Here is a 12,415-nt window from a genome sequence, read left to right as displayed (position 1 = left end):
TGGGATCAGATGAAGGCAATTGCATCATGGGAACAGTTTTCCCCATACTGTTCTAGTGATAATGAGTGAGTCTCATGAGATCTGATGGTTTTATAAGCATCTGACATTCCTCTGCTTGCACTCATTCTCTGTCCTGCCACCCTGTGAAGAGGTGCGTTCCACCATGATTATAAGTTTCCTGAGGGCTCCCCAGCCATGCAGAACTGTGAGTCAATTAAACTTCTTTTCTTTGTAAATTACCCAGTCTCAAGTACTTCTTCATAGCAGTGTGAGAAAGGACTAATACAGTTAGAAGTAAGTGAAAGGTGCCATGCACATTCAAGTGGAAGGGACCACACAGGGGCATGAAACTGGAGGCAGGAACCATAGGGACCACCTTAGAGTCTGTTTGCCACAAGACACAACTATATATAGCAATCCATTTCAAATTTAAAAAGCACAAATGATTTTGGAAGGACAATCAAATCTGCAAAGCCAAACCATCAATTAATAACCATGTCTGGCCTCTGCTTTCTTACTCTTCCTTCCATCCACCTTTCAGAGCCTTCCGCCAGCATTATCCTCCCTTTGGTTTTTCTCCTCTCACTACCTGCACTCACAGTTTCTGGAAATTGCTTCCTCTCATTTTCTCAAGTTTAAACTCTCATTCTCACCTACAGAGTTCAAATAACGGCACCTCACATGAAATCCCCTATCCTCCCTCATTGTCAAAGGTACTTGTGTGGCTGCTTCTAAAACAGGCTCTTTTCCTTCCTCCTTCCCTTGTTATGTTTATCACCCTGACCCAACTTCAATCTTTCTGCTTTGAGCAGTTTTTCACTTTATACGCTGGAAATCCTCTCTTTTCTTCAAATCATTCCCTACAGGCACCATTGATTTTGAAACACCTGCTGATGTTCATCTCTTTCTAAAGGTGTATGTATTTTTCAGAGCTGAGCTGATCTGTGTGGCATCTCACTCAGATCCAGATTTCAGATTTCTTTCTTCCTTTTTTTTTTTTTTTTAACATGAGATCATCTCAGTGCCTTTTTAAATGACTTCCTGCAATTTGCTCAGCTAGTTCTAGGTCCATAGCTTCCTTTTTGATAACTGGGACCAATCCAGGCTGAATGACCACATTCACTGTTGCAACGGCTTATTATTCTCCTGGAAGTAGTTCCTTGTTTCAAGATTACCCTTTCTAGGTTAGTGAGTGTTTTCCATAAGTAATTCTAGAAGCCACACATGGGTTCCAGATGCATGGCCCAGCCTGAGCTGGGTACCAGGGCCAGCTTCATTGGTGTGTTACTTGTACAGTTTCACAGGGTCTCATGCTCAGAAGGGCCCTGGGCTTGCTTCAATGCTCCATTGTCATTATCTTGAAATTCTTGATAATTTTATCTTTGAACTTGTACTTTGTATATAAAATATGATGGGACAATGCAACATGTATGTGAGCAGAAGATAGGTGCAAAATATACATGTCTGCTGTTCCTTGTCACCTCTTTCACTTGCAGCATTTGTAATGTCCCATGAGTACAAAACTCCAGGGAACCTATGATGTGTGGGAGTTCAGTGAGACTCATAGTTAGTATTAGTAAACACATCACAGCTATGACTAAGCAGGGGTGCTGACACACAGAGGGACCATGTTTCCATTTGAATGAGAATTTGCTTCAAATGCAATAAGAAGGCAATTCTAAGTAAGACAAATGACTAAGGAAACTTATCATATATTTCCTCACTTGTATTACTTCCGTATTAGTCAACCACTTACCCTGAAAATGACATAAAAAGAAAAGAAAAAAATAGAAAAACCCATAGTTATTTTTCCTTTCACTTCTTCCTTCCTGTTCAGTAGGCTAAAGATAGAGCATGTTGGTAGAATCTGTGAGTATCAAGAAATGAAATAAAAACTCTTGAGTTTTGTGCAGTGTTTTCACTGCTTTGATAAGAACAAAATACATACGCATGTACAAACTATGAAATACAGATTGTGTAATTTCAGGGATTTCTGTTAAATGCACATATATTTTCATTTAAAACTGGCAGTGCTCGATTAAAAAATGAACGGTAAAGTGTGTGCTAATATTTTAATTTTCTTAGAACAGCATTAAATAGCAAGTTAAAAAAAAAGTGGCATGGCAAATTAAGGAAGAGAGACCATAGAGAAAGGAAAAAGGTTTATATTTTAGCGACTATAACTGTACTTTTTTCCTACATAAGGCATCCCATGTTTTCATTTTCAGTGGGCCTGGTAAATTATGTAGCTATGCCTGCTGGGGGTGCTGACTGAGATCGGAGTTAAATCCCCTCTATTCTACAAAGGCATATGTGACATCAGTGGAATTCCCAGGCCATCAAAAGTCTAGAAGAAGGCTTCCAAGTATTCCTTTGGATATAGCTCATGTCACTACCTCTCACTCCTTAGAACACAGTTAAAGGCACACCAAGATATTAATTTTCTCAGTCCTCAGGGTTATGAGCAGGACCAAAGCTGGTCAAATCATCCATTGACATCAGAGAGCCACATATATAGAGGGAAACATTGTGTTAGAGAGGTCTAGTTGTGGTTGAGATCAAAAGACTTGTTAAAAAAAGCTATAAGATGCTAAAGAGAAAACCAGAGAAGACATCTCCATTAAAATGGATGTGACTTAACATCAAGACTATTGCAACTGTTATCAGTTTTGGTTAGAGTCAACTGAGTAGGGAAGCACATGAAACAAACAATTCTGATGACAGTTGATTCTCATTATTTATGGAAGTTATGCTCTATAATTGTAGTGAAGACTGAGTCATTGCCCCTAGGGGGAAATACAGGGTTCCTACAAGCCTCTGGTCATAACATTTTAATCAACTGATAAACATATAACTATTTAATTGTGTTTCTGTTTAAAGACATCTTATTTAATATATATAATTTACATTATTGATTAATTAACTTTCAACTTGCCACCACAAACACTGTAACATGCCTGAACGAAGCTTATCTAACACATGCATTTTCTCTGTAAGACACCTCAAGAACTCCTCAGCTTTAGGAACACTACACAGCACTTCAGCACCACATTTGGTGGGGGACATTGTAAACAGCAAAATCAACAGAAAGCACAAAACTGAGAAAAAGATGGCACTAAATAGACTGTGAAAAGAACACTAGTTTTAGTATGAGAGTTGAAATGAGAAGGCAGAGCATCACCTTGTTGAACCTCAGCTAGAATGTGGGCATCAGATGAGTTAAATTTGTCACTGCTCTGTGCATATGCATGTCTGCAAATCACTATGAAAATGAATTTTAATGAGTAGGTGAACTAGCAAGTATGAAATCTGCAAGTAATGAATTACAAAAACACCAGTACTATATTTAATTCCTATACTTAATGAGGTCTTTCAAACCACCAGATTTTGGCCTCTTTGTGGAGGAAAATGAAATGATAAATAACATGAAGTGAGTTGGTAGTATGGCATACTTATTTCATATAATTCTTATAAGAATAGGTAAGGGGCTAAAAACTTTTCCTCTATCATCTTAGGTTTAGTGCCAGGCCTATGAATTAAACTGATAAAATACAGGTTAAAAGAAGAAAAAAAACCAGAGCCTATTTACACATGGTATATGTAGGACATGAGGGAGAACTCACTGATGAGTAACTCAGAGGGCTGGTTAGAATTGATAGCTTATATACCATCCTAACAGAGGGTGATAAATTCTGGAGACCTAGATAAAGGAAAGGGGGATTGGGGCTCCTAGGGGAGGTAAGTTGTGGGAAGGTGACTAAAAATATATAGTAGATAAGAGTTGTTTGGTAAGATTGTTATGCAAATAACAGCTCTCTCCTCTTTCTAGTAAGGAAGATGTGAACACCTTTACAAATAAAAATTTGTGTCAACTTTACAATGGGAAATTTATGCCCTACTTTTAGGCAAAAATGGGGAGGAGGGAGAATTCCTCTTATGTCTGGTATTTCTCAATTGTCTTCAGCTCAAAATAATTCTTATGTGAAAGTGGCATATTTTGGGGTGGCATATTCTGACCATCTTCAGATAAAATAGACAATTATTATGGCAGAACAAATGAGCATTTTTTTGTTGTTTTTGCTGTTATAACAGTTCTTAACAGATCATTCAATACAATTATGCAAACTGAGACATGGATAAAATTTTCACAGATGTGAGAAGTGTATCAACGGTGTAAAAGACTATTCCAGAATTAATTCTTGCTTTTCGTCTTGGGTTTTAATAAACGCAGCAGGAAAAATCTCCTGGGTCAATGGTCTGAATAGATAGAATGTTTACCTGAGATGCTTATCTGGTAAGCTCTCAGGATTTGCTAGTAAGTAGTTTGTAGGGACTCTAAGTCCTAGTTTGAAAATGGGGATTAGCAAGTAGGTTAAGGGTTTAGATTCTCACATTCACGGTGATTTTAAGAAAGGGGTTACAAACTGGTTTTGGGGAAGGAGATTTTTGCTCTCAGACCTGTCTTTACCAGCTGTGTGCGGAATGAATGCCTTGGAATTGCACAGGAATCCCTTTAGGTGGCGCTAGCTCATGCTGCTTAGTTGCAGCCAGCACCTTCCTTGTTGCCTCATACTTTGCAGTTGCTGCAATTGCATTACCTGCTTGGTCAAGGAGGCAGTCCTGCAGGCCACACTCAGAAGCTACTAGGCTAAGTAATAACTGCACAGAAGCAAGAGCCCTTTGCCCTAGGACTGGCGCCTTCATCACTCTTTCCTCCCCTCTTGCCAAAGGTAGAAATTTGCTTTGCTGGGTGTTTTTTTTTGTTTTGTTTTTTGTTTTTTCCTACATCACTCACAGCCTTCACTCTTTCTTGAGTTTGAGTTTTTTTTTTTCACATCATTTGGATCTCCCTCATTCAAACTGAGGAAAGACTTCTTACTAATAGCAATAAGGCACATTCTTGGGGAAGTCAGATGCCTGAGGATTTAGGGGTACTTAACTCTTTTTCCTTTTTCATGCTTTACAACTGTGATTAAGTCAGTGCAGACCACCCGTCACCATTTCTTACTGCTTAATTAAGAAACATCTCAGAATTTTCTCCCTGTTAGTTTCAGGCAGATTAGAAGGGAAAAATATTTTAACAGATGCTAAAGAGTCTTTCCAATGATTTGAAGATTAGGAGAGTGCCTTTTATAGAGCTCCCAAAGTGTTCCCTGGCTGCTTCTGCCAGAATTGAAAAAAATTTAGTGGCTGAGTACTTAATGAAAAGCCAAGATGCTCTGACAAAGAACTCCTGGGCAGCTATTACTGTAGCTCCAAAGAGTTATTGCAAATTAAATTTTATTCTTGTCCTTTATGATCTATATCAGGCAGTAGGTGTAACAGCATGACTGAAATATTCTTGTCTTACACTTTTGTTAATGAAAGCACCCATTCATTAATATATGTGTACCAGCAGGAAATATGAAATGGTGTGCTCCAGTTGAAAAGCCAGATATTGTATTGTCAACTTCGTAGGCAAAAGGCAGGGTAAATACAATTAGAGTTCGGGGACAGGGTAATTACTGTCTCCATCTGGTAACGCATTCTTTATCTGAGCTCAACCGTCTTACGGGTTTTAAGTACTTATGGGGCATCTTGCTAGGCAACCTAATAAAGGATTACTTTTTAAATGTTACCTTGAAAGCTTTTCAAGATTGCCTTTGTCTAACAACACAATATCACATCTGGTATGATTGCCATCGCTGTAAAGCAAAATCTTTTAATAGTATTTATTAAGTACTTCCCAAAGATGCATGATCACCAACATGAGTTGGTGTTAATAGAGAGTCATTAGTCAGCTCAGTTTTCAATATTTGTGGAAAAGCAGGCTCAGCAAGAAACGTATAATGAATGTAAAGCAAATACAAAACACAACATCCCTGCGGTCTGACTCCTTTTCCCGATGGATGGGAACATCACGTTTCACAGTCTAGCTGCTTGGTAATTTCTGAACACTGTCTCTAAAATATTTGGCATGAAATATCATGAGCTAAAGAAGCACGAAGAACACAGCAGCTAAAGGGAGCCTTATGGGGAGAAATGGTATTTACTTTAATGACCATGACTTAGGAAATTGCCATATTCCATACTGGGTTAATAAAGGCTTGGGGCAAAGTGGAGAGTGAGTGGCAACCGTGCTGGCTGAGAGTGTGGAGGAAATGTCAAGCACCTTCTCATTGTCACTGGAACATCAGAACTCTCCACTCCCCTCTGCTCCTTCCCGGAGCCTCACAGCCCAGAGCAGGGCTGGGTAAGAAAAAAAATTGTGATTAGGGTAATTCAGCAGCTGGGAAGGTATTTTCTGACAGTTCTGCAGATAATGGAGCGTTGTACACAGGGTAATAAGCAGAGAGAGTATGATTGTAAGCTATAATTCAGTCAAGAGGTTAGATGATCTCATAAACAGTCAGCACAAAGCCACTGTGGTTTGTCTTAATATTATCAGGACCTTAAGATTGAACAAGAACTTTGCTACTCAATATTTTGCCGAGTTTGTTCCTTTGGAGTATGGAGTGGGGATGGGAACCAGGTCTCCACTTGATCAATTATTCTAACCTGTGTATATTTATGTGCATGTACATATGGCTTTATGTATATCCTGTCAGGGCTATGCATTCTCCCCAGACCCCAGGGTACACAGAGGAAACACAATTTAAAAAATCTTGACAGAGTAACAGCATGTATAAAAATGAGATGATCATTGACTATTTTTCATGCACTTTGTTTTGCATTGGAGCCCACACTAGATCATTATTTCCAAAAGGTAACCTCTCTCCTTCCTTTATGCTACTGCAGAGCAGGGAATACTTATCTCTCTTCATTCCAAACACTGTGCACCTTTTCAGGTAGCCATAGTGTATATTCAGCTTTGGCGATGTCAGCATTTTTCTATCTGCTAATTTCTAGCTGTATGGGACCTTGAGGTAGTCATTTAACTTATCTGTGCTTCAATTTCCTTATCTGTCTACTTAGGACAACAATAGTACCTACTTTTTTTTTTAGAATGTTTTATTTTTAGAATAAGATGAATTAATACATGGCAAGGGCTTAGAACAGTTCCTAGGCATTTCTTATTACTAGTGTTGCTTTTGTTATTACTTTTTGGTAGGTGGTGTTATTTTCTCCTTGAGCAGACAGAGTATGTCTTGATCAATTATATATCTTTCCAAACATATATCATAGTACAGTGCACAATAATAAATGAATTGCATTTAGATCTTTGGCTAGATTTTAAAAGTTTGGGGTAATATTTTAAATTCTAGTAGAAATCTTTGTCTCTACCCTGTAGACAATACAAGTGTACACATTTGTGCCCAACTGATCTTTAAAGAATAACTTTAGGAATAGGTAATCTTGCAAAAGCAAGCCTGGAGTATCCTTTGAAGGGCTGAGTGATTTAATCAAAGGGTAAGTTCCTTTATTCCAGTAGCTGTCAATCTAAGAGGTACCTTTTAATATGTTGGGTATCAGTAGGTGGCACTTTTTATATCACACTTTGTTCTCTTTGGAACACATCCTCTCACATGTTAAGTGGAACAGCACAAAGATCTCATAAATCCACTGTAGGAATCAATTGGAAAGTATTGCAAGTAGTTTATAACTGAATTAGTAAAATATGTGAATGATTTTCTGTAAGTTTGAGTGGATTCATTATGAGTTTTATGGCAATTTCATACCCATCACTTCCTTGCATTCTGGTATGCTCATCTGAGTGGGAGAGAAAGGGGTGGGGTTACATTTAGTGCAATTAAATGTAAATAAATTATTGGTACTACTTGATGTGAATATCATGTGTCCTGTGGTATGGATGGCCAACCCAGAAACAGGGCTCAAGCAATTGATCATAGATGTGAGTCAAAACCAAAAGAAAATGTTAGCAGAGCATTTTCAACTTATCAACAACTTAGAACAATTTAGCTGAAGTTGTTGTGGGACTGCTAAGATTGGCAGGTAAAGAAAACAAGCCTCAAATTACAACCCTCTAGCAGCAGCAAATGGAACCAAAATACAACTTCTAGGGTGGCACCCATTTTCAGTGGTTTTGTTCACTGACATATCCAGCAAAATTGCTGAAAAGGAGAAGGGGTCAACCACCTGGGATCAAGTTTCAAGTGTGGCTTATTTTGAGATGAAAGCATGCTGGCGTTTAGAGCTGGGCATTTGTGAACTGGGATTATCTAGCATACTTGGCAATGTCTAAGTTGTTTTTGGATTCCTGATTCTGATTCCAGATGTCTTTCAATATAACAAGTAGGTAGGGAGATTTAAATAGGAAAGTCACTGGTGAATAACATTACCCGTTACTTTCGTCAGCTGGGTGGGTGTTTTGAAAAATTATTAGGTGTCATATACATTAGAGTGTAAATTGATCATGTGAATAGCCATGATTTATACCTAGGGTGACCATAGAATTTACCATTCAAGTGAAGGACAGCATGGAGAGTGAAAGGGTGCTGTTAATAATAATACTAGGACAACAGACATAATGGGGACTGTCTGAGACAATTTGGGACATATGGACTTTTTATTTACATATGGTGAGTGAAGAAGAGTATTCATTCAACACACCAGAGTTCCTATGTGATTTCTTTTTAAGTTTTTCATTAAGTACCGTTATTTTATATTATTTGTAGAGAACCTTCCCTTTCTATGACAGGAGACTTTTATAGTAGAGGTTCAGAAATGGTCAAATGAATATATAGGAAACTTATCACATGTGTCAGTAGTACTGGATTTTGGTTTTTCCCTCTTTTTAAATTTTGCTCCCCCACCCCCGTGCCATTCTATGGCACTCCCTCCTTGTTCATGAGGTACAAACAGGGGAAAGATCAAAGGCTTGCCCCAGGGGAAGGAATATTTCAGATGTGGAGGAAATCTCTGTTCTTCCCTACAGAAAGCCCTTTTGCTTGCCGATTTCTCCTGGCTCATGCTCTCTGTCCAATAATGCATTACTCAACGTAAAGTTTTTCCTTTTCCATTAAAAAAAACCCTTAAGTTCAAACACAAGCACAATCACAGAACCTTCAGCTGTATAAAAATAGCCTTCGTGCACTAATTCATATGCAATAGTTCAAACAAACAAAAACCAATACAATCATTCCTGTGTCACTAACAGGATTTTCATAAAACTGTTTGAGTGAAATTTCTTGGGCTTAATATAATTTTGGGACTTCTAGTTTTTTTCACACACGGAAACTCAGTATATAATAGCTCACAACATATGATTCAGAAGTGGAGATGAATCAGAAGACTGTTGGGGTATCGTTCTACCAGGCTCAGCTTGAGAACTAGTGGCTGGGTCCCTGCAGCTGAACTACTGGGCTGGTTCCATAACCTAGTAAGAGGTTGGTAGGAACAAGAATGATTTACATTCAAGTCCTTACAGTTTGGGTGAGCTGGGGTTAAGGGAGAGAAGAAGAAGAAAAGGAGAGAAGAGACAAAAATAAGGTGAGAAGATCTCGGCTCCACCGTGTAGCTTCTCTGATCTGTACCACAGGGTCAGTAGCTCCTGCCTACTTCATGGAGATGTAGTGAAGATTATGAAAGAAAATGATTTGAAAGCTCCCTTTAGGATGAAATGCTTTATGTAAATATAAGGCATGTTTTATCAAGAAACAGAAATAAACAGAGCTTTGTAACAAACCTTTCCCTAACGTGATCATCACCTTTATGAAATGTCTAGAGCAGGGGTCCTCAACCCACTGGCCACAGACTGGTACTGGTCCGTGGCCCGTTAGGAACCGGCCGCACAGCAGGAGGTGAGTGGCAGGTGGGCGAACATTGCCACCTGAGCTCTGCCTTCTGTCAGATCAGCGGTGGCATTAGATTCTCACAGAAGCACAAACCCTATTGTGAAGTGCACAAGTGAGGGATTTAGGTTGCACACACCTTATAAGAATCTAATGCCTGATGATCTGTCACTGTCTCTCATCACCCCCAGATAGGACTGTCTCCTTGCAGGAAAACAAGCTCAGGGCTCCCAGATTCTGCATTATGGTGAGTTGTATAATTATTTCATTATATATTATAATGTAATAATAATAGAAAGAAAGTGCACAATAAATGTAATGCACTTGAATCATCCTGAAACCATTACCTCTCTAATCCTAGTTCATGGAAAGATTGTCTTCCATGAAACTGGTCCCTGGTGTCAAAAAGGTTGAGGACTCCTCATCTAGAGGAACTTTTTTTTTTTTTTTTTTTTTAGATGGAGTCTCACTCTGTCACCCAGGCTGGAGTGCAGTGGTATGATCTTGACTCACTGCAACCTCTGCCTCCTGTGTTCAAGCAATTTTCCTGCCTCAGCCTCCCGAGTAGCTGGGACTTCAGGCACCCGCCACCATGCCCAGCTAATTTTTATATTTTTAGTAAAGACGGGGTTTCACCATATTGGCCAGGCTAGTCTTGAACTTCTGACCTTGTGATCAGCCCCCCCCCCCCCCACCCCCGGGCCTCCCAAAGTGCTGTGATTACAGGTGTGAGCCACCGCACCCGGCCTAGAGAACCTTTTTAAGAAGGACACAACCTGTGCTCAATACCCCTGATTCTCTCAGGTAAGGATGGCAATGACCCACGCCTTTTAAGCAAGCATGAGGTAGAAACCAACAATGAAAGTAGCTTTAACTCCAGGAATATGAAAGGCACAGGGGGTCCCTATGCTGCAGTCTTTATTTTAACTAAGAAAGCCCTCGCTAGGACTTTGATTGGGCTGGATGTTCAATGTTACGGTACTTTATAAGATGTTTTAACAGTCAGTGTAGTTTTCAAAGCTGCCAAACTAGTTATCTGAGTTGGGTAATTGTTGAGCTGTTTTGATTTATATTTTAGGTCCACTTGACCATCAGAAGAGTTAAATTACAGACGGCTAATATACGGGAGAGTCACTGGGAGTTGGGCTAAGCCCTGTGAATTTGATATCTAATTTGCTTCCTGTGAATATGGTGTCTAAGCCGAGTTGACAAACAAGGGGAAGCAGGCTTGATGCGTGTTTCTGTCTTAGGGATCATGCTTTGTTTCAAGGTGGCTGCAAGTTCAAAACTACATAATAAGAACCCAGAGTCCCCAGTCATTTATTTACTTAGGATTTTAATTTTGAAAAAAATTTAAGACACGAAGCAACTCCATCTCAGAATTAAAATTTCACATATATCCTTTATGCTGATAGAAATCTGTGGATTCCTGTTTTCACACTTGTTGCCAATTTGCACAATTGTTGTCAATACTCAGAGCACGCTTGGATAATTGAATTTGTAACAACAAAAACAAACTTATATATTAATACCTTCATTTTTCTGTCCAGTTCTTACAGATCAGGGTTCATATCATGACCTTCTTAGTGTGATTGGGTGAGTTATTAATTTCACTGTGTCTCATTTTATTCAGTATAAAATGGGCATTATTATGTTTATATCATAGAGATGCTATAAAGATGAAATATGGCTGGGCATGGTGGCTCACGCCTGTAATCCCAGCACTTTGGGAGGTTGAGGCGGGCGGATCACGACGACAGGAATTCGAGACCAGCCTGGCCAACATGGTGAAACTCCGTCTCTACTAAAAATACAAAAAATTAGCCGGGCGTGGTGGCAGGCGCCCGTAATCCCAGCTATTCGGGAGGCTGAGAGGCAGGAGAATCGCTTGAACCCCAGAGACGGAGGTTGCAGTGAGCCAAGATGGCGCCACTGCACTCCAGCCTGGGCGACAGAGCGAGAGACTCCAGCAGAACGAGACTCCGTCTGCCCCACCCACCCCCCGCAAAAAAAAAATGTTAGTGAGTGCGACCAGCAGGGCTGCTGTGTCCCACGAGGGTTCTGGCTTCACCAGGGGATAAGACCATAGCTTTGGCCATTAGGCTTAACATGGCTGCCCCAATTTTAGCGTCTTGCTCTTGCACCCAGGACCATGTTTGGCATGCGATAATTTCTCATTATCTATCTTTTGAAAAAAAGTGGATAATTCCCAAAGTCAGCTCTTCAGTCATCTCACCGCTCAGCACCTCACTGCAGTCACGCTGAAGTACAGGTCATTCCTGAACTGAGATCTCTGCATTTGCACTTTCTCTGCTTGGAAATTTCTATCCCCGGCTCTGCTCATGGTTGTCTCTTTCCCTGTCATTCATCACAGCTCCATCACCCCAGGCTCTCCTGGACCACTAACCTAAAGGAGAGTTTCCTTCCTGGTCGCTATCCCATTTCCTGTTTCATTCCTTCATGGCGCCTTTCACTTTCTGAATCTTCGTGTTCATTTATTGGCTTACATGTTGTCTGTCTCTTCCTCACTAAAGGGAGAGGGCGGAAATTTTAGTGTCTTGCTCTTGCACCCAGAACTGTTTGGCATGGGATGATTTCTCATTATATATCTTTTGAAAAAGTGAATAATTGCTGAGGTCAGTAATTTTGTTTTAATTAAAAAAATCCACAGATGCTTGTTCTTA

Source organism: Homo sapiens, chromosome 13 (genome assembly GCF_000001405.40).
Source record: "Homo sapiens chromosome 13, GRCh38.p14 Primary Assembly".
Taxonomy (NCBI): domain Eukaryota; kingdom Metazoa; phylum Chordata; class Mammalia; order Primates; family Hominidae; genus Homo; species Homo sapiens.
The sequence above is the reverse complement of the archived record's forward strand: the minus strand, read 5'-3'. Positions refer to the sequence as shown.